Source organism: Homo sapiens, chromosome 9 (genome assembly GCF_000001405.40).
Source record: "Homo sapiens chromosome 9, GRCh38.p14 Primary Assembly".
Lineage (NCBI taxonomy): Eukaryota > Metazoa > Chordata > Mammalia > Primates > Hominidae > Homo > Homo sapiens.
The window spans coordinates 83,968,083-83,988,422 of NC_000009.12; the positions used below are offsets into that span (position 1 = coordinate 83,968,083).

The 20,340-nt window shown below is 39.9% G+C and overlaps 2 protein-coding genes, 1 long non-coding RNA gene and 1 other non-coding gene across 16 annotated transcripts in view, besides 10 other annotated features; 2 read left to right on the forward strand and 2 right to left on the reverse strand.

Moving 5' to 3' along the window:
- HNRNPK (heterogeneous nuclear ribonucleoprotein K) lies at nucleotides 1–12,533 on the reverse strand. 9 transcript variants are annotated; one of them, NM_031262.4, is made up of 17 exons: nucleotides 12,421–12,533; nucleotides 10,291–10,370; nucleotides 10,113–10,197; nucleotides 9,607–9,704; nucleotides 8,913–8,969; nucleotides 7,380–7,423; nucleotides 6,435–6,507; nucleotides 5,820–5,891; nucleotides 5,204–5,317; nucleotides 4,762–4,890; nucleotides 3,800–4,107; nucleotides 3,590–3,644; nucleotides 3,191–3,274; nucleotides 2,815–2,830; nucleotides 2,655–2,737; nucleotides 2,080–2,249; nucleotides 1–1,298 (listed from the first exon to the last, which is right to left on the reverse strand). In NM_031262.4, exons 3-17 carry the CDS (start codon nucleotides 10,168–10,170, stop codon nucleotides 1,268–1,270), a joined length of 1,392 nt encoding a protein of 463 aa, NP_112552.1. In that variant the 5' UTR covers nucleotides 10,171–10,197; nucleotides 10,291–10,370; nucleotides 12,421–12,533; the 3' UTR covers nucleotides 1–1,267. The 9 variants fall into 9 exon arrangements, with proteins under 9 accessions (NP_112552.1, NP_002131.2, NP_001305117.1 ...); NM_002140.5 differs by having other exon boundaries at nucleotides 1–1,358; NM_001318188.2 differs by lacking the exon at nucleotides 12,421–12,533 and adding an exon at nucleotides 12,071–12,133.
- On the reverse strand, nucleotides 1,666–1,775 carry MIR7-1 (microRNA 7-1). The gene has a single exon (NR_029605.1). It is a non-coding gene; the product is annotated as a microRNA 7-1 (primary transcript).
- On the forward strand, nucleotides 4,013–7,698 carry HNRNPK-AS1 (HNRNPK antisense RNA 1). Its single transcript, NR_186535.1, has 2 exons — nucleotides 4,013–4,195; nucleotides 7,351–7,698. It is a non-coding gene; the product is annotated as an HNRNPK antisense RNA 1 (long non-coding RNA).
- Nucleotides 11,407–11,566: an enhancer, noted in NCBI's record as "active region_28497". NCBI's record gives its function as "activates an Ori minimal core promoter by ATAC-STARR-seq in GM12878 lymphoblastoid cells {active_cell/tissue: GM12878}" and the evidence as "EXISTENCE:reporter gene assay evidence [ECO:0000049][PMID:35858748]".
- Nucleotides 12,107–12,246: a silencer, noted in NCBI's record as "silent region_19981". NCBI's record gives its function as "represses an Ori minimal core promoter by ATAC-STARR-seq in GM12878 lymphoblastoid cells {active_cell/tissue: GM12878}" and the evidence as "EXISTENCE:reporter gene assay evidence [ECO:0000049][PMID:35858748]".
- The window catches only part of RMI1 (RecQ mediated genome instability 1), a 23,716-nt gene continuing 15,652 nt past the window's right edge, over nucleotides 12,277–20,340 (forward strand). Inside the window, exons 1-2 of one of the 5 annotated variants that reach the window (NM_001358292.2) lie at nucleotides 12,723–12,922; nucleotides 20,247–20,322. The gene's annotated coding sequence lies outside the window, so the exon portion shown is untranslated. Of the gene's footprint in view, nucleotides 12,462–12,722; nucleotides 12,923–20,246; nucleotides 20,323–20,340 lie in introns of those variants that run through there. The other 4 variants (NM_001358293.2, NM_001358294.2, NM_024945.3 and 1 more) reach the window with 4 other exon arrangements.
- Nucleotides 12,387–12,436: an enhancer, noted in NCBI's record as "active region_28498". NCBI's record gives its function as "activates an Ori minimal core promoter by ATAC-STARR-seq in GM12878 lymphoblastoid cells {active_cell/tissue: GM12878}" and the evidence as "EXISTENCE:reporter gene assay evidence [ECO:0000049][PMID:35858748]".
- Nucleotides 12,387–12,903: a biological region, named in NCBI's record as "NANOG-H3K27ac-H3K4me1 hESC enhancer GRCh37_chr9:86595393-86595900".
- Nucleotides 12,396–12,903: an enhancer, noted in NCBI's record as "NANOG-H3K27ac-H3K4me1 hESC enhancer chr9:86595393-86595900 (GRCh37/hg19 assembly coordinates)". NCBI's record gives its function as "activates a minimal SCP1, AML or CMV promoter by ChIP-STARR-seq in primed H9 embryonic stem cells {active_cell/tissue: H9 hESC(primed)}" and the evidence as "EXISTENCE:reporter gene assay evidence [ECO:0000049][PMID:30033119]".
- Nucleotides 12,477–12,536: an enhancer, noted in NCBI's record as "active region_28499". NCBI's record gives its function as "activates an Ori minimal core promoter by ATAC-STARR-seq in GM12878 lymphoblastoid cells {active_cell/tissue: GM12878}" and the evidence as "EXISTENCE:reporter gene assay evidence [ECO:0000049][PMID:35858748]".
- Nucleotides 12,667–12,736: an enhancer, noted in NCBI's record as "active region_28500". NCBI's record gives its function as "activates an Ori minimal core promoter by ATAC-STARR-seq in GM12878 lymphoblastoid cells {active_cell/tissue: GM12878}" and the evidence as "EXISTENCE:reporter gene assay evidence [ECO:0000049][PMID:35858748]".
- Nucleotides 12,757–12,846: an enhancer, noted in NCBI's record as "active region_28501". NCBI's record gives its function as "activates an Ori minimal core promoter by ATAC-STARR-seq in GM12878 lymphoblastoid cells {active_cell/tissue: GM12878}" and the evidence as "EXISTENCE:reporter gene assay evidence [ECO:0000049][PMID:35858748]".
- Nucleotides 12,904–13,412: an enhancer, noted in NCBI's record as "NANOG-H3K27ac-H3K4me1 hESC enhancer chr9:86595901-86596409 (GRCh37/hg19 assembly coordinates)". NCBI's record gives its function as "activates a minimal SCP1, AML or CMV promoter by ChIP-STARR-seq in primed H9 embryonic stem cells {active_cell/tissue: H9 hESC(primed)}" and the evidence as "EXISTENCE:reporter gene assay evidence [ECO:0000049][PMID:30033119]".
- Nucleotides 13,057–13,136: a silencer, noted in NCBI's record as "silent region_19982". NCBI's record gives its function as "represses an Ori minimal core promoter by ATAC-STARR-seq in GM12878 lymphoblastoid cells {active_cell/tissue: GM12878}" and the evidence as "EXISTENCE:reporter gene assay evidence [ECO:0000049][PMID:35858748]".

Genomic DNA, 20,340 nt, shown 5'->3' on the forward strand with positions numbered 1-20,340 from the left:
TACATAAGATTACTATATTTCCTTTTAAGAGGAACGTTTCAACAAATTTTACAGGTGTCAATCAACCCTTGTTCAAATCGGGCACACATCAAATCTAGCATCATGGGTGTTTTATTTATTTGGAAGTGAATTTTAACTATCAATACAAATGCCAAGATACTACACAAAACATCCACAGGAACTTTTTTCATCTTTTTTTTTTTTGAATTGTACACAAACATTTCCTACATAATCCAACATACAACAGAGAAATGGTACATCTTTTTCTTTCAATTTGCATACAATGGAAAAACAAGTATATATATATTTTACAAAGTTTAACTAATAAGACACTAGAGCAAATTGACAGTTTAAGTCTATAGGTGAGAAATTATCTAATAAAAATAATCAATTTTTTCAGCATTAGTCACTTCCATAACCAAGTGTTATTCTGATTAATAAAACTTGCTGCCAATCAGAATTCTGGTATATACTCATACCATTACTCAACTTGTAGTACTGCTCCCCACCTTAGTTCTTCACAACTAACATAGAAAATTGTTGAAAAGTAGGGGCAAGCATTTGCAAAAACAAACAAAAAATCCCCAGCTTATTATAAGCATGAATATGTATGATGGAATTTCTTCCCAGCAATAGACTTCCAAACCATCAAGAAATCACCAGAACTAAGTTTGCCAAGTTATTTTGCCTATGTCCAACAAGAGATGCACTTATATGTCCAACAGAGGAGCTGAAAATTAAACTTAGTGTTTAGTTTGGGGGTGGGTTGGGAAATTCAGCCACCATTTTAAAATGACTGTCTTAAAAAAAAAATGACCACCAAAAATAGGTTCACTAAATTTATTTTAAAAATCATAAAACGTTTCTTACAAAAGAGCATTACATTCTGCACACTGCTCTGAACAGATGCCAGGGACATGTGGACTATTGTTACTTTTCCTCCCTGTCCCACCCCCCAAATGTTACAGTGACCACAAAGCAAGGTGTTCACAATAATTACATGGGGGGAATTTTTTAAACCACCAACAATAACGAAAAATAAAATCCACTCACTCTGCTGCTGTTTCAAAATTTCAATGTTAGTTTTTGCACGCCCTTCCCCCCCCCAACCCTGTTTGTAAGGAACTAAAACATTACATCTGGTGAACAGCAAAGATTTCACTACACCTCAAATGCAGAACACCTATGAAGCAGAGGAATGTTGGCTTTTTAAACAGAAGCAGATAAAAAAAAAAAGATGCAGGACTCCTTCAGTTCTTCACTAGTCTTAGAAAAACTTTCCAGAATACTGCTTCACACTATAAAAAAGAAAAAATATCTTGCATTAGAATCCTTCAACATCTGCATACTGCTTCACACTATAAAAGAAAAGAAAAAAAAGTGCGAATTAGAATTTTTGCTCGTAACATCTTAATCAACATCAAGACAATTTCAATGCTAAATTAAAATGATAAACACGTCCATTACAATTAGAAGAGTTCAAAAACCATTAGCAATTACAAATTAAAGCAATGTTAAGTGTCAAGAAAAATGATGAGTAGTAAATCGGACATTAGTAGAACAGAATTAAGAAAACGGAATTGAAAGTTGTTAATATTTGGTAGAAAAGACAAAGAATGCTAGTAAGGTGTGAAATGCTGCATTTTACAGCACCAATCATTTGTCCTGTAGAGGCATGGCCTGTGCCATATGGCAGACTGTGATTTGTTGTCGATTTAGTTATCTAAAAACAACAAAATCACTAGTCTTCCACACAGAACTAGGCCAACATCCAATGAATCTTCTATATTTTCTACAGGCTCTGTACAATTTTTAACAAGTGGTTTTGGCAGCAGTTTTCACCAGAGAAATGAGAAGTTTGCTTGGTTAAGGCTTCTTCCAGCAAGATTAGTATTGAATGTCTTCATTTTTAGTAAGAAAGCAGAAGAAAAATTAAGGCAAACTATTAGAATGTTTAGAAGTTAGGTCCCCAAAAGGTTGAGACACCATGGCTTCTAAAAGAAAAAAATCAATTGAGAAGAAAAGCTTTTTAAAGGTTTTAGTATGTATAAGCTAACACAAAGCTAAACTTAAACTGACCTGTTCTGCAGCAAATACTGTGCATTCTGTATCTGGTCCTGTGTTCCTGTAATGGTAATGATCCGATCTTCGGATCCTTCTAAAGGCTCATCAATTTTGATCGAAGCTCCCGACTCATGACGGATTTGTTTAATCCGCTGACCACCTTTGCCAATAATAGATCCAGCCAACTGAAAAGATTTTTTAAAAGTATGTGTTTACGATATACTTTTAACATTTACTACCTGTATTTTCAAGGAGCATGAAGTTATTAATTTTATTCATTCAGAATCTTAACTGATGATCTAACGCTCCCTAAACCTGTCAAGGTTTGAGTTATAATGTATTTATGTCACACTTACTAATGTTTCCCTTAGTTAGTTAAGGGCTCAAAACCTACTTAACTACTTTTATTAATAGCACTGATCACTTGACAAGACTCAAACAGCTGAAAACCCAGCTCACTAAAGCCCATTAACATAACCTCAATCCTAAATGTGTATTTTTGTTAAAACCTTCTGAATTAAAAAATATACAGAAAGGAGGAATAATCATAAAAGTGATAAAATGTTCCTGGTAGTATTAAAGATACTTACATCTTTGGGAATAGTTACTTGTGTAGTAATAATAGGTCCACCAAGATCACCATATGAGCCACGACCCCCTGCATAGGAATAATCTGATTTAAATAATGAGCAGTAAGTTCATTTAAAAAGTATGAAATTAATGTTTGACTTCACAAAGGAGAGAACTTACCATATCCGGAGCCACCCTAAAAACAGAAAGAAAAAAATAGAAAATTACTTTGCCGTTGTAATTACTACCGGTACTTTAAAAAAATTCATTTAATAAAATGGAGTCTTGCTATGTTGCCCAGGCTGGTCTCAAACTCTCGGGCTCAAGTGATCCTCCTGCCTCAGACTCTTTTGTAGTTGGGATTATGAGTGAGCACCACTGCACCCAGCTTCACTATTCAAGTATTTTAATCTCATAAAATCCCTCTTCAGGAAACCAAAGTCCTCCTGTATCCTATTTTCAGTAAGTATCCTCAGGGGAATAAAAAACTTACTGGAGAGCAGGTAAGCATCTTAAATTATCACTGATATACACACGAACAACTATGATACTCAACCTGTGGTTCATAAGCCATCTGCCATTCTGATGGGCTCCATGTATCTATTGCAGAGTCCCAAGTTTCATCAGCACTGAAACCAACCTGTTAGAGATAAAAACATTAACATGAACCCGCATTGTATTTTGTTATAGAGCTGTTTTTAATATGCCTAATTTGCATGTTACATTAAAACAAAAGAGGGTACATATATAGGCAGCAATTTTGTAATCGAGGGGAACAAAGCTCAATAAAGTCGTAATCCTCCAGCAGCAAATAACAGAATTATTTAACTAGTAATCCAAACAAAATTTACTTGTAAGAAAAACTTTTTAATCACTATAACCTTCAACAAAACGTGAACTACATTGTGACAACCCTCACATACCCAACACACTGGTAATAAACCAAAGTTCTTACCATGCCGTCGTAACGGTCTCCAGGTCTCCCTCTTCTGTCATAGGCCATGAGGTCTCTGCAAGCATAGTACTTGTTGTAATCTAAACGTGCTTACATGCCACACATATCAAATCAAAGTCTACCTTGTCTACCACTAAGTGCAGCCTCTTGCAGGTTAATAATTCATAGATGGGGGAAGAAAAAACAACAACAACAAAAAAAACAACTTACCCCCCTCTAGGTGGTGGTGGTGGAGGAAGAGGAAGATTCCGAGCTCTGCTACCACCCCGGCCGCCTCGTCCGGGAGGAGGGGGAGGTGGTCCTCGACGAGGGCTCATATCATCATAATCTCTTCTAGATGGAGGCATGGGACGCCCACCCCGACCAGGAGGCATTCTGTCAAAACCACCTCTTCCCCGCATGGGAAATCCCACTGGGCGTCCGCGACGGTCATCAAACATCATTGTAAAACCACCATAATCATAGGTTTCATCGTAAAAATTGGGATCATAAGGCTGTGCACGTCCTTTGATGGGAGACTAAAAACAGAGATGGAACAAACTTACAGACTGAAGAAAAAGAGTCCTGCTTCATACCAATCCTTCTAACATCATCATCAAACAAAATGTAAGTCATTCCCCCATCAGGAGGTACTAGAGACAGAAACAGGAATTATGTCAACGCTAAAAGTAGCAAAGTAAAGATTCCAAAGAAATCCAATACTTTTGGCAAATGCTAAACAAAAGTGAGTTCTATTGCCTATACAGGGAGAAGTAATAGCTTGCTCTTACACTTAGATCGTAAGAAACCACAAAGCCCTCCCATTTTACACATGACAAACTACAATGCACATTTCACAACAAGGGCTGAAGAGATCAGTCTTGGCAAGCCTGTAATCCATACTGAGGCACCTGAGATAGGAAGCCCTGCAGCATAGTTACAAAGACACAAGCAACACTATAGGAAATTCATTCAAAGGCTCAAAGGCTATAGAAATACCACCAACAAATTACCACTCTCCACTTTTTCAAAACCATTTTTAAATTAAAGTGATGGCTGAAGCCAGGTGATAGAAAATTGCTAGGGAAAGGGCAAATAAAGACTATTAGACTAAATGCTCTGAAGCTACTTTTGCAGAAGGTTATCACTTTGTTTCATAAAATCAAATGTAAACAAAAAGTGTTCTGAAGTACCTCAGATATAAGATCAAGGATGATCTTTATGCACTCTACAACCCTATCGGGTTTTCCTCCAATAAGAACAACTCTGTCAGTGGAATGAGGACAGCATTCCTGGAAAAGCTTGATGGTGGTTTGAGTGTTCTGTAGTAAGATCATAAAAAAAAATAATAATAATTAGAAGAAAATTAGCTTTCCTAGGTTCAGTGAAAATTGCATTTGAATTCAACAATTAACCCCCCACAATATAAAAACTTCATTAATTATCACAGGGCTTTGCAATGGTATAAAAATTTTGACAAAATAACATGTCTAGCAGTGCCAGACATTTTTTGTCATTTGCGATAAGCAATCTTTGGAGGGAACTGAGAGGGGAAGCGAGAGAAGCTCACAGAAACAAGTCTATATGAAAATTTACTTTCCAGCAAAGAATACGGCAGAATTTTTTTTTTTTTACCTCTCGAAGTTCTTTGATTTTAGCACCTTTGACCCCAATAATTCCTCCTGCTAGACTCTGATGAATCAACAGCCTCAACTCGCAGTCAAAGTCACTTCCTTTATAGTGTTGGTACTGTGGAGGGAGAATTATAAAATTTTAGTCTCAAATCAACAATTCCCCAATACACACTTATCTGCTATAAGCATAACAATAATATACTGTTGCAGTGAGCAACCTGAATTTATATTTCAATAACTTTACCAGTTATGTGCTTATTATCCTCAATAGCCAGGCCCAAAAAGGACATTCTGCACCACCTTAAAAAACTATTTTATTTTCAGGTCCTGCAACACCATACCCACACTGCAGCCATTTAGCATGTCGCTGTTACCACAAAATTATTATTAACATTCAAATAACACCATAATAAAAATGACTGCAAAGCACTTTGCAAATGTAGTTAATTCCCACTGCAGCATGGAGCAGGGTCAACAGTGAGTTGTAAGACCATTCATGTATCATGTTTTTAAGCCTTTTTCTATAGAGATGGGAAAAGCACACTATGTTAAAAATATAATCGATCCTATGGGCCAGGCTCCATACTTCAGTGGGGTTCAATGGCACTATGACATACATTTAAGCATTCCACAGCATCAGATTCGAGCGGGAGCTGGCTGGTTGCAGTGGGTGATGGCAACTGCAGGCCCTGAAAGTAGAAAAATAAGAGTAATAGGTTAAGTGTCTAGCGTGATCAGGCTATTGTCGCATATATTGGTAAAGCTACTACAACATATTTTAAATCTATATTATTAAATAATGAGAAACTGCTTTATTCAACATTAAGACGATTCAAAACATAAAATATTTTTCTCTATATACACCTAGTGAATTATGTAGAGTCTTAAAATCCTAACTAAATCTAACTAATTCTCCTTTTCAACATGTTCCCACAAATATTCTAATTTTAAAAATCTTTCTGATAACTAAAGCCCATAAAATACATACTAAACCCATGAAAGCACATGACCACAGGTTAAGTTCACATTTACTCCAGGAGTGGCCAGCCTGTTTTTTTTTTTAAAAAAAAAAAAACAAATTACGCATGTACAAAATTATGTAGCAGGTTAAGATACTGCTACAAACTGTCATATCCATTGTCTCTCCACCTCCCCCATCATACCCCAATACAACATACTTTAAACATTCCCCCCTCATATTGTCAAATACATTTAAAAAAAAATGAGCCTACCTCTTCCAAGGTAGGGATGATTTTCTTCAGAATTTCTCCAATTGTTTCAATATCAGCACTGATACTCAATATGCTGTCAAACACCACAAATACCAGATAGTACAAAAAAGGTGGAAAAGAAAAATGAGTTTTGTGTTTGTCACCAAATCATACAAACTTTCACAGAGATGTAACACATGATTATTTAATATTCCCCATTTAAAGTAGCCTATTTATAGATTTCTCACATGCATTTTGTTTTATACCCAATACAGACATGATAACAATATTAGGAGACTTGCAGAGAGACAGAGAGAATGGGCTTTTGGAAGGGCTCAGATTAAGTGGGCAATAAACTGACCAGAACTGAAGCAGAGTTGAATATTTATGTTCCCCGCCACCACTGAGTTAAGGATACCCTTGCTGTTACATTGGTAAAACTGGCACACCTTCTCTTAGGCAAAGTGGGGGAATATGCAAGTGGTGAACATTGTATCTGGAGTAAGGTTATGAATACCAGTTAGAAATTAGATCACTAATGGGCTCTGCAAGAAAACAAATACAAATGCAAGACAAAACAAAGACAACACAAATGAGAAGTGAAGGAAAGTGAACCAGAGTTAGCATTTCATCAGAAAAAATTATGAACAGGCAATGTTGGGAAGCAAGGTGGGCCACAAAGACAGAGCGAGAGACTATTTTGGTAACAATTTGATTTACAATGCGGCAAATATGCAACACTTGAAGCTGTGCTCCTTCCATCGAAATAAAATTAGTGGATCGTTTGGGTGGGCAACTCACGGTAAAAGTTCAGTGACAAAAAGACTTAATGGGGAAAATAAGACAGAAACTTGAAAAACAATACACCGTCTAAAGGGGATACTATTTAATTATATAAAAGGCAGGTAATAAAATACATTTCTCTCTTTCTAATCAGGCAGTGAGGCATAAACTGTTGGGACATACCGCTCGGGGCCACTGCTGTCTGGGACTGAAACACTGGCATTGTACTGCATTGGTCATTGGCGTTCGTGGATGTTGGCATTGGGCATGGGCATTCAATCAGAAGTTGTCAAGTATGGTACCCGTTTGGCAACGAGCACATTTTTGGGCATAGCCAACCAGGGTTTTCACATGGGCGTTCAGGGGCGGATGGGCCAACGTCATGGTGGGCAACGCAGGGGTAAGTCGATCCAGTACATGGGCAACGGAGATATATGGCCAAAAAAACAAGGAGAGGGAAAAGGGGGAAAAGCAATAAATTTTAATTTAATACAAACTATACTCATACTCTCAATGAAACAAGCTTAAGTTGTTCTGAAGACTAACACAATAATGGACTTCTCTAAATCTGACTGTGGCTTAACATTAAGGACCTCAAATGATGGTTCTAGCCTTTTTTATTTTTTAAGAAAAACAAACGATGTTTCAGTAGCAGGCTGGCTCATGAGGGTAGACACAAAACCTGACTCAAAGTTTACTGAAATTCTTGAGGAAATGGGGAAATTAATAACCCAGATAATTATACAGAACATCTGGATTAAGAGGAGAGAGGTTTATAAAAGACAAAACAAAAATTCCCACACCACCAAAAACCCTAACTAATAAGACTGGTTTGGTTTTCTGGAGGTTTTGAAATGCATTCCTAGATCCTAACAGGCAAGTTTGTAAAATTTTAAACAAATTTTCAAGTTCAGTTTACAGTAATCAAGAGGAACATACAAAGATCTGCGACCAAGAGAGAAATGAAATACTGTCAAATAAGTACTCGACACAAAGTTATTTGCCTCATTTTTAGCAAGAAAAACATTAAGAAATGTGTACACTATGAGAAAAAAAATTTAGAAATTTTGGTGTAGCCAAGTCCTATAAATGTGCTCACTTCTGGCACTGCCAACATTTAATGTGTCTAATCACAAGAGTCAACCCACTGTAAAATGAAGACTCAAACAAATCATAGGCATTGACGAACAGTTTCCCAATTATAAGATTAAGTGCCTACTCTATTCTTTACCCATATTTAAATCATGCAACCTCAACATTAAATTCTTTGTGCTCCATGTGCAAGCTGTTAAAGAACAGATGGACATTTTTCTTCCCAAAGAAAACAAAAAAATTTTTCTGGATTTAACCAGCCACCTGCAATGGTTTTCAGTAATACTGTAATTGATTCACACACAGGAAATGGTGCAATCAAGGATTTTTACACTTTGTCGCTATTTCTAATTAAGATGTTATCTTGCTTGATGAAGTGAATAATTTGGTGGACTCTTATTAAAATGTGAAGAGGTTTGAAAGAAACCACCCCCCCACCCTGCTCAATCTGGGCTTTTGTTAAAACAGGAATGGATAACTTCGAAATCAATTCTGTAATAATAAATTATTACAAATGTCTTTGTAGCTAAACTATGAAATGATTTCTAGGATGTAAATCTTTAAATTTCTATAGACATATAAACTGAAGCTGCTCGTGTAGTAGTTTAAACTCTTAATACTTACGTCTGTACGGAGAGCCTTAATATTCTTGCCTCCTTTTCCAATCACTGCCCCAGCATTCTGGAGAAGATACAAAGACAAAAAATTATTTTGCCTTTCCCTAAAATTAATAGCTACCTACGCTCTTAGATTTTGCTAAAAAATCCTCTAACCTGTTTGTTATAAGAATAAAAATCTATTTGGGGTTGTAAAAACGACCAGGCCAAAACCAAACCAAAAATCAAAATATAATTCTAAGTGCTGTGAGGACTAGATAGTTTGGAGTACTCAATGTCAGAAATAACACCAAGTATAAAATAAAACTAAGCACAGATTTTATAGCACCCTTTGGTAAAATAAGTCAATTAATTTAGTATTAGTAGGTACCTTCATATTGTGACCTGTGATCAAACAATAAACTGCCAACCAAGCAGTTTCCTAAGGAGTCCACACATAATTAAGATTTAATCTATTAACACTTTAAGAATCACACTCTCCTCCTAGTTTGACCTGTAGTGGCGGTTCACTACAGCAAGGGCTTTAATCTTAACTGTTAGTGGAATAAGAAAACCACCAGAGCCTTCAAGTCTGTTTAGAAAGAACCAAATGTTTTATATTCTTCAATCTGTAAAACTTTGACTTTCTAGAAAGCCAAACCAGACCTTAATTTCTACCTGAGTATGAACCACCTTCAAATTTTCAAGAATAAAATTTATACCTTGCTCTGAAGCAGAATGCGTAATTCAACCATCTCATCAGTGTTTCTAGATCTTTTAAATGCTTGTTCCTCTTCCATATCTTCTGCAGGGCGTTTACCTAAAAATTAACAGTTCACATTTCAAAGAAAGCAGCGAAGTCTCCAAAGTAACTCCATTCTGTTTCAAGAGACTTGTTGCTAATCTTAGGCATGTTTTGAAAAGACCAAAGGCATTGCTACAGACTTGAACGTTATGCTTCCATCTAGTAAAATGCACCAAACACAAAATACTGCCACAAAATACTTCAAAGGATTTGAAATCCCAAAATGCAAGAAAAATTCTTTATATGCAAATCAGTTACTTCTACTTCATAAATAAAAGCTAAGATGTAACTACTGATAATCGCAGAATTACATAAACAGTAATACCAAAAATTCACCACACACTCCTAAGGCAATAATTAACAGAAAAAGGCAATTTATTAACAGGATAAAAAAATACTGTTAAAACTAAAATTTCTTCTCACCAAATTCACCATTGGTTTCAGTGTTAGGGAAGGTTTCTTCTGGCTGTTCAGTTTCCATATTCTTTTATTAAACGGGCACACCAATCTGTGGAAAAATAAAGCAGCTAGTACATTTGGCTTATTGGAAAGCAAGCTGTAAAAAAAAAAAAAAAAAAAAGACATTGCTTCTAGAACGTACCAGTTATTATATATCCTTGCAGAGCAGAACTGAAGCGTTCTGGGTCGGACCAACAACTGACACCCCAGTGCTGCAGTAGCCTATAAGAACCAACACAAATCAGTTTTGCTTTTGTTTATTCTTATTACTGAATATTTGTTTCCGATCACAGTGAATACTGATTTGAACCCAAAAAACCAGCTGTTTCTAAAACTTGATTCTTCATTTTAGGGTTTCACAATTCAAATGACTGCCTAAAAAATACAAAATTCAAGGGAGCCTGGTTTCATTTTTTGCTAAGTTAGAACAATAACTTTTAGCCACTGGATTAAGTCCCACCACAGCAATGAATTGTTTTATACGGCACATTCCCAAAACCCTGAAAAGATAAATGTCATCCACAAAGCATACATTTATGAAAAGTTACAATGCATCTTATTCACTGGGAAAACTAATTTTATATTAAAACTTCCAATTGCTTTCCTATTTCTTTCGACTCATGCTTGAAGCGATCTTATGTGACATCTCTAAAGTTTACAAATACAACGGCAATTGCGAACACATCCAACAACCAGAACAATCTACCGGAGGGATAAATCCAAAAATCTAATATAGGACCAGACCCAAACTACCACAATACCAGTCTATTATTAATCAGCGAAACAAATGGAGCCCTTGAAAACTAACAGTCACTAGCGGATTATTTTAAATTAGGCTTAAGGGAGTACAACACAACAATCATGCCTGTAACACGAAAACTAAAGTGTCTACGTGCCAAAACGGTCGATAGGACTACAAACAGCCTTTTTAAGCTTCCCTCTTGTCGGGACTAGGAGTTGACAAGCGGCCTCTACTAGAAGGTTGGCTAGACAGCAAAGAGCCAACAAGCGAGGCACATTTATGCCTCCCATTCTCCCATACCGTTGGTCGACTTATTGCTCTCCTAACGACAACTGAAACGACATCCTTCCGGCCCAGCACGCAATTTCTGAGGTGTGGTGGGAGAAGAGTTGGATAAGAAAGTTTAAGCAAAAACAGCAGGGCTTATCTGTAAGAATAACGTTGCCGCTTGCCGTTCACCCTTCGGGTCCTGCAGTCACTAGTCCCCAGGCCTCAAAAATCCGCTAAGTATGTGCTCCACTGGCCGAGCGCCAACGCGCCCTCCCCTCCCCGCCTCCCGGCACCGAGATCAAAAACAGCCGGGTAACAGGACGGGAAAAAGCGAAAGTCGACAGCAGAAGCACCGCACCTCTCCTCACCCGGATCCGACAGGAAATGGCGGCCCGCGTAATGGCGACTACGTGCTACTAGGCGGAGCCGAGCGCCGACCCCCTCCCCCACCCACCACGCGGTCCCGAGGTCTCATCCCCCGCATCCTCCCCCCACTGCCCGAGACAAAGCCATCGAGGCAGCCCTGACCGTTCCATCCCCGCCGCTCCAGCTCCGACCCCGGGCCGGGAGACCCAAGGTGAGGCGGGGCTCACACAAAGAGAGCGGCGGCGCGACCTTCTCCCCGCACCGGCCTCCTTTCCTCCACGAGGTCCCTAGTTCCCAGTGCCACATAGCTCCAGCTCATCCTAGAGGCACATGCCTCACGAATCCCCAAGTCTCTAGGACCACAACGCGGACTGCGGATACACGCTCAGGGAAATGGCGGAGGTGGGGGAGGGGACACCGGGCAACGTTCCCACTCGGAGAAGCGGCCAAACACCAAAGCGGCTCCCAGGACGCCTCCCTCAAGCGGAAAAACTGGGCTCCGACCCTCACCTCCACGAGCCGCTCCCCCAACCCGGCTCCTCACCGCGCGAGACTGCCGTCCCTCCGCTGCCGCGCCGCCTCAGCCGGTCGGAGCTAGACAGAAAACGAGCGCAGGCTCCCCTCCCCCGCCTTCTCGCGTCCTCCCCGCCGTCGCGCCCTATTGGCTGCCAGGGCTTCAGCGATGGTGCGAGGGCGAAGCGATTGGCCCGAGGCCACGTCAATCAAGGCGACGGAGGAGGCGACAACCCCGCCTCCCGCCAGCGCCTCCCTTCGGGCTGGGAGGCCACTAAGGGCTCGAGAAAACCCGGGCTTGGGAAAAGTAAACGCAGCCTTTCAGGGAGCCCCAACCCTTACCCGAATCAGCAATACCCAAGCTCCAATAACTCCAATTACCTATAGGCCGCGAACAAGTGGGACACAGGCAAGACGTCGAGGTCGGTGCAGCAGAGAAACAGAGGATAATGGCGTCTGCAGTGCTGTCGCCTGGAGCGCCCTCCTCCTTTCTCGTTCGCGCACTCACTAGCTGGGGGGAGGGGCGGCTAGGGGGCGAACCTCTCGCGAGATCTAACAACTGCCTAGTTCACGCGCACAGGGAGGGGGCGGGGAAGGGGCGTTTTCCAGCCCCGAAGGAGTCCTTTGGGGTTGGAGGAGGGGCGCGAGCGCGCGGCAAATCGGGCGGGAAGAGGTAAAAAAGGAACTGGGAGCGCGCCGCGGCGGTTCCTGTCCTTACAGTTGCGCTGCCCAGGGACCGATGTTGCGCGAGGAAAATGCGGGACGCCCAGGTCGGTGCTCGGCCCAGACTTATGCCCGTGTTTTCACAGCCCACACTCGTGCCCGAAGCCCCTTACCCCGCCCCGGGCTGTGGTCTGTGGGCTGTGGGACGAGCTGCGGCGCGGTAAGTGCGGGCCGTCTGCGTCCGCTGGGCCGGGCCCACGCTTCGGAAACCCGTTGTTTGTAATGGTCCGGGGCGCCCGTCAGTCAAGGCCGGGCCCGGGGGCGCAGCTGGCGGTTCTCGGCCTGCCTTGCGCCGGGGCGGGAGCCGGGGAAACGCGGGGCGAGCCTGGGAGTACTGGAGAACTTCTCGCCGAGAGGGCACAGGCGGTTTCACAGGGCTCTCGGTTCTGAGACTTTCCTCTTGGGTAATGGGACCTGAGATGGAAGTATTTTGTAGTGTCGTCGCTGTAGTTTATTCCGATAAAATTTTTAGGCAATATGTATTGCCCTTGTCTCCTAAAATGAATGCGTATCGCTGAATACGTTGCAGACCTCCACGTTCCATTCAAAGCGCCTGCCTTGTGGCAGTGATGAAAACAGACAAAAACCCTTGCCCTCAAACGTGCTCCTGTTCTAGCGGGTTCAGCGCACACTTGCATTGTATTCGGTTCCTTACTTTTAAGGCTCCTGTGCCAAGCTTTCATGACTTCCTTTGTTAAGGCACATAAGGTCACTTTCAATCGGTGACAGCCCTGGGAAATCTCCAGCCCTGGTAGTACCCGCTTTCCACATCCTTACTCGTCAACCTTCCAGCCTCCGCCCACAATCCCAAACTCATTTTGAAGCATAAAGGTGTCATAATCTGCACATAAAGCGAAATCCACCATTGGCCGAATACATGCATATATTTTAGTGTTGATGAATTTGTGCTGATTCATTCCTGTTATAATGTTTCCTTCTTGGGTAATTTGCAAAACATATATACCAGCATTCTTTTAAATGGCCATGATTGCATCCACCCAGCATCTTTTACTTGACTGATTAGAGGAAAACTCTTGTTAGGGCGCACTGAGGATTTCATGACAAACACCAGTATTTACATTCTGGGAGGATACGTTAACACATGCTGTTAGAACATAATGTCCGGGATTGTGGAATTTATAAAAGTTCTCTTTAAGTGATAATATAATTTTTTAAATGGTCCCCACCATGAAGAGTGTATAGTCTTGTTGGGTAGGTAAAACTTAACTCGCATTTCAGTTCTAAAACACAAAGTTCAGAATTTTATTAAATATTCAAAACTGATGAGTTTATGTAGGGGCTTAGGATACTTGGATTATAGAGATTTAATCCGCCAGTTAGTATTTGCAACATTTAATTGAGTTTGTCATTTAAAACCTGAGACATGTCACTGACACTAATATGCACAAATAGCGGTACGGTAATGATGATGCTGTGCTTTCTTTCAAATTAGGATTTATGTTGCAGTCATCATTTTCTTGATAAGGAATGATGAGTGGGAATCACAAGTAAGCAGCCCTATATAAGAACCTCTTCCGGCCGGGCACGGTGGCTCACGCCTGTAATCCCAGCACTTTGGGAGGCCGAGGCGGGCGGACCACAAGGTCAGGAGATCGAGACCATCCTGGCTAACATTGTGAAACCCCGTCTCTACTAAAAAGACAAAAAAAAAAATTAGCCGGGTGTGGTTGCAGGAGCCTGTAGTCCCAGCTACTCAGGAGGCCGAGGCAGGAGAATGGCGTGAACCCGGAAGGCTGATCTTGCAGTGAGCCGAGATCGCGCCACTGCACTCCAGCCTGGGCGACAGAGCGAGACCCTGTCTCAAAAACAAAAACAAAAACAAAAAAAAAAACCTCTTCCTCCCAGTTTCATTGTCCAGACTGGACCCCGACTGGTGTAAATTATTCATCCCCTCTAGATGCCATTGTGGGATGGTTGCTATTTTTCCCCCCATTTGATTTCTTCTTTACGTCTTTTTAATTTTTAGGTTTGCTCTTTAAATAACAGGAAAGTCTTTTTTCTCCATCCTTTTATTCTCTGTTTGAAATTAAGACTTTTCAACCCAATAATTTTATACCTGTGTTCATTCAAGAACTTAACAATACATTCATTGACTCCAGTCTTGTGTAATTGGTACAATGGTGTAATGGTGTAGTGATCACTTTGGACTCAGTGAATTTAGACCCAATATTACTTAGATGGGGGATTTACTTTAGATGGGCTAATATAATTGAGAATGTACACTATCCAGCTGCATTATTGTTTAAAATAGTATTTATAACTACTATTTCCTGAGTTCCCCACTGTGTGCTAAACGTTGTGCTGGCAGTTTAATACTTTTTAGAGTTCTTTGAGCAAGTTGTTAGTTATCTTTGTTTTGTGAACGAATGAACTAGCACTAAGAGAAGCTAAGGAACATATCCAAGGTCACATAGCAAAATGGGGTTCCAGATTCTCTTTCTGTCTTTTCCTTACTTTAGGTTATGGAGGATCCATAAAAATCTCCTCTGATTACTTCTTCTAATTTCAGTCATATACGGTATAAATTTTTCCTCCCTAATTTTCGGAGTATCTTCTCAAAAATTCCAGGATTACCTTGAACTCATCCTCAATGAATTAAAATGTAGACTTACCTTTATTGTTTAGATGAAGATAATGGAACTGTGGAGTAGATTTAAATATTCGTTAGTGCTTTTAAGTCTCAGCTATTGTCAGAATGACACACGTAAGGTCCAAAAGGATGACACTCCTGCCTCGCTTTTTATTAAAAAAAAATTGGAATATATGAGGCTGACTGAAAATTAATCTGTAAATCAAATATGCCTAGACCTTCGTGGTAGGTGATAAAATTTTCCCACTTTATTTTCTTTTGTTCAGTTCCTGGCAGTACAGATCTAGAATGCAGATTAGTGTGGTCAGCCAAGTTTATCATTCATACAATGCTAATCAGCTTTCTTAAAAATGTTTTTTCCTGATTATAAAATTAATGGGGATTAAGCTGTATGTAATTTTATATGTGTTCTTTTTCCCAACAAAATGTGAATGTATTTCTTTGTCATTAAATAATTCTTAAAAATGGTTTCTTTAAAGATTTCATAGCTTTTCATTTCATGGTGGTAGTGCTATGTATTTAACTTTTTTTCCCATTTTGAACATTTTGTTTTTTTCAAAATATAAAAACTCAGTGGTAAACTCTCTGCCACATAAATCTTTGTCTTTATTTATTTTGTTACTTATTGATGCATAAAAGATGTACATAGTTTTGGGGTATATGTGATAATTTAATATATTCACTTAATTTGTAAAGATCAAATCACAGTACCGGGGATATTATCTCCTTAAATATATGGCTTTTCTTTGTCCTTATTTATGATTATGTCCTTAATTCTGGAAAGTAAAAGAAGTGGATAATATGGTATGAACATACCTTTTTTTTTTTTTTGAGACTGAGTTTCGTTCTTGTTGCCTATGCTGGAGTGCAGTGGCGCAATCTCGGCTCACTGCAACCTCTGCTTCCTGGGTTCAAACGATTCTCCTGCCTCAGCCTCCCGAGTAGCTGGGATTACAGGCATGTGCTACCAAGCTCGGCTAATTTTTTTGTATTTTTAGTAGAGATGGGGTTTCTCCATGTTGGTCAGGCTGGTCTGGATCTCCTGACCTCAGGTGATCCACCCGCCTTGGCCTACCAAAGTGCTGGGATTACCAGTTTTGAACATCTTTTTTTCTTTTCTTTTGAGACAAAGTTTCGTTCTTGTTGCCCAGGCTGTAGTGCAATGGCACAATCTCGGCTCACTGCAACCTCTGCCTCCTTGGTTCAAACGATTCTTCTGTCTCAGCCTCCCTAGTAGCTGGGATTACAGGCATGCGCCACCAGGCTCAGCTAATTTTTTTGTATTTTTAGTAGAGACGGGCTTCTCCATGTTGGTCAGGCTGGTCTTGAACTCCTGACCTCAGGTGATCCACCTGCCTCAGCCTCCCAAAGTGCTGGAATTACAGCTGTGAGCCACCGCACCCAGCCCGAACATATCTTACTGTATAATTTAAAAGACAGTTTTCCAAATTTATTATTATTTTCTTGGACAGTGGAGTTCTTTAGGATCAGGAGCTGTTCTTTGCACATGGGAATTTGTGCTGCCCTTGCTAACCTCTGCCTCTGAGCTGCTTCTACCTGCTTGTGACTATGGTTACCCAATTTCCTAAGCAAAGAAGGGATGAAAACCTTAGGAATTATCTGAAGGACTAGATGCCATTAATATAATTTACCAAATTATTAAAGGTCTCAATTATTAATATCCAGTCTAAACTTTATAATATAGATCTTACATAATATTTTTCCATTTGATTAAACATTTTAATAAGCTTCTCTTTCTAATCTGTAGGAAAAATAACCTATTACACATCATCTTTTTATTATAATTAAGACATGCAGTTGTAGGAATTATATCTGTATCCTAGATCAATCCTACTTTCTACTTTGTTGTTAAGTGATGAAATCTGTGTAACAGATGTATGTTAGCAGTTATTTTATTTCCCCTAAAGTTCTTGACTTTTTGGTAAAATATTTGAGAATAGTTGTATTGGAATGCTTGTACAGTGTTAAGTATCTCTTATCACATTTGCTTGTGTTTTACAGGTGTCTTGGTTATCTTTTGGGTGTTTAGTCAATGGAATTTTTTTCTTTGCCCAGTTATGATAACATTACTGTAAATTCATAGTATGTCAGCTTCAGAAGTTGAGAGTGGTTCTTAGAGTTATTAATTAGGACTGACACATTTAATGGAACAGTTTAGTTGTTGGGGTTCACTGAGCAGTGTTTTTCAGAATTCATCCCAACTCTTGGCTGAAAGGAGTTTTGCCACTTGCGGTGTTCAGTAGCACATACGGCCGGGCGCGGTGGCTCACGCCTGTAATCCCAGCACTTTGGGAGGCCGAGGCGGGTGGATCACGAGGTCAGGAGATCAAGACCATCCTGGCTAACACGGGGAAACCCCGTCTCTACTAAAAATACAAAAAAATTAGCCGGGCATGGTGGCAGGAGCCTGTAGTCCCAGCTACTTGGGAGGCTGAGGCAGGAGAATGGCAGGAACCCGGCAGGCTGAGTTTGCAGTGAGGCGAGATTGCACCACCGCACTCCAGCCTGGGCGACAGAGCAAGACTCCAAAAAAAACCCACCAAAACAATAGCATATACCAGGAAGAGCAAGTTTGGAATTAAAAAAAAATTAAAAAATAAACTGATACATAAGCCTTAGAATATCAGTTTGTAATATTCAAAAAATGTAAAAATTATTTTATGTGCTATGTTAGTAGGGTTATAGCAAAAGGAAAAGTAGTACTTAACCGCAGCACTATGTCGAAGCTATCACAAAGATAAATATAGTAGGTGTAGGTGATATTTTTAAGTTTTTCTTTCATTTGATTTTGTAAATGAAACAATTTAGAATGCATTAGATGGGCTTGTTATTTACGTGAGATCTGAGAATTCTGTTCATTATAGTAGCAGCAAACCACTCTTATAGAATGGCCGTTTATATGTGGATTTTATACATAAGTGGGTTTTATAGATGAATTGAGGGACTGGTTTTACTTCCTCTTTCCACTTAAGTTGACAGAAAAAGGTAAAAGAATGGAGATTAGCAGAATTTATGTTCTAGTTCTGGGTCTGCTGTTGGGTATGATATGTATGCCTTAATCTTCATGCCTCAGTTTCATCATTGTCAAAAATAGATGAGAATACTCTTTCTATCAAAAAATTACTGTTTTGAGGTTTAGATAACATTGTAGATGTAGAAGTACATTTTTTATTGATATCTTTAAAAAAATTTTAAGTCTTACAAAATAGGTTTTAATTTATTTTCAGCAAAGTCTTCACTTCTCTGTTTATACATCTGTACCTGCTGGGAAATATAGGATTAATATCTCTGAAATTCATTCTTGTTTATTTTCTGTCCAGCCTTGACCTTTTCAGTTCATAACCAATCAGTCTTCTTTTCTTACTGATTCATTTCTTTTGAAGTTTCAAAGTCAACTGAAAGTACACTTTGTCCTCATTTCAGTTTACTTAATCTAATGTCTGTCATCACATTTTTACAACACCTTTGAAAATTATACTAGGTCCATTTGCCAGCACTGTGTTATTTAAATTTTACTGGAGGAAATAGGAACCTTATTGAATTGGTGCAACTAAGAGCCATGGCTGGGTTCCTTCCCTCCCCTCCCCTCCCCTTCCCTTCGCTTTCCGATGGAGTCTCACTCTGTCACCCATGCTGGAGTGCAGTGGGAAACCCTTGGCTCACTGCAACCTCTGCCTCCTGGATTCAAGCGATTTTCTGCCTCAGCCTCCTGAGTAGCTGGAATTACAAGCACGTGCCACCACGCCCAGCTAATTTTTGTATGTTTAGTAGAGATGGGGTTTCACCATGTTGACTCACACTCCTGACCTCAGATGATCCACCCGCCTCGGCCTCCCAAAGTGCTAGGGTTACAGGCGTGAGCCACCGCGTCCGGCCTGCCTTCTTATTGTTTCTATTTTTATCACTTTTCTGCTCCTTTTGTGCCTTCTTTTAGATTGTTTTCTTTATATTTTCCTCAGCTAGTTTGAAAGTTAGTTGTTACATTTCTATTCTTTTGGTGTTTACCTTCAGTTTTTTAATTGGAGTATAATTTACCTTCAGTAAAATTCATATTTTTTGGAGTATAGTTCTGAGTTTTGATAAACAGATAACAGTCATGTAACCACCAACCACCACCATCGTCATGTTATAGAACAATTCCATCACCCCAAAAATTTTCTTTTGCCCCTTGTAGTCAACCTCTTTCCACATTTCTGGCCTTTGGCAACCACTGAACTGTTTTCTGTTTGTATAGTGTTGCATTTTTCCAGAATGTCATATAAATGGAATTATTCCTTTACTTACCATACTGAATTTGACATTCATGCATATTATTCCTTGTGTCCATAATTTATTTTTATTATTAAATAGTATTCCATTGTATGGATATTATCACAGTTTGTTTATCCGTTCACCAAATGAAGGACATGTGGGTGGGTTTTTTTTTTGAGACAGAGTCTCAGTCTGTCACTCAGGCTGGAGTGCAGTAGTGCAAACACGGCTCACTGCAGCCTCAACCTCCTGGGCTCAAGTGATCCTCCTACCTCTGCCTCCTGGGTAGCTAGGACTACAGGCATGTGCCACCACACTCAGTTTTTTAATTTTTTGTAACAGATAGAGAGATAGAGATATTGCCCAGGCTGGTTTTGAACTCCTGGCCTCAAGTGACCCTCCCACCTCAGTTTCCCCAAGTGCTGGGATTACAGGTGTGTGCCACCACACCTGGCCACATACAGGATTTTAATGGATGTCAAAATTATTTACTCTCTTGAGTAAATACCTTGCAGTTGCATTGCTGGGTTGTATGGTAAGTATATGTTTTGATTTCTAAGAAAATGCTAAACTGTTTTCCTTTTGTTTTGTTTTGAAACAGGGTCTTGCTCTATCGCCCAAGCTGGAGAGCAGAGGCATGATCACATCTCACTGCAGCCTTGTCCTCCTAGGCTCAGGTGATCCTCCTCCCTCAG

Bases quoted from the DNA above. Each gene is read 5' to 3' on its own strand.
- HNRNPK (NM_002140.5), bottom strand. From the start codon at position 10,170: ATGGAAACTGAACAGCCAGAAGAAACCTTCCCTAACACTGAAACCAAT. The intron at 5,318-5,819 runs GTATGTCATAGT...CTCCCTCCACAG, and splicing joins ATGCTGTGGAATGCTTAAAT to TACCAACACTATAAAGGAAG. The intron at 3,645-3,799 runs GTAAGTTGTTTT...CTATGCTTGCAG, and splicing joins CCACCACCACCTAGAGGGGG to AGACCTCATGGCCTATGACA.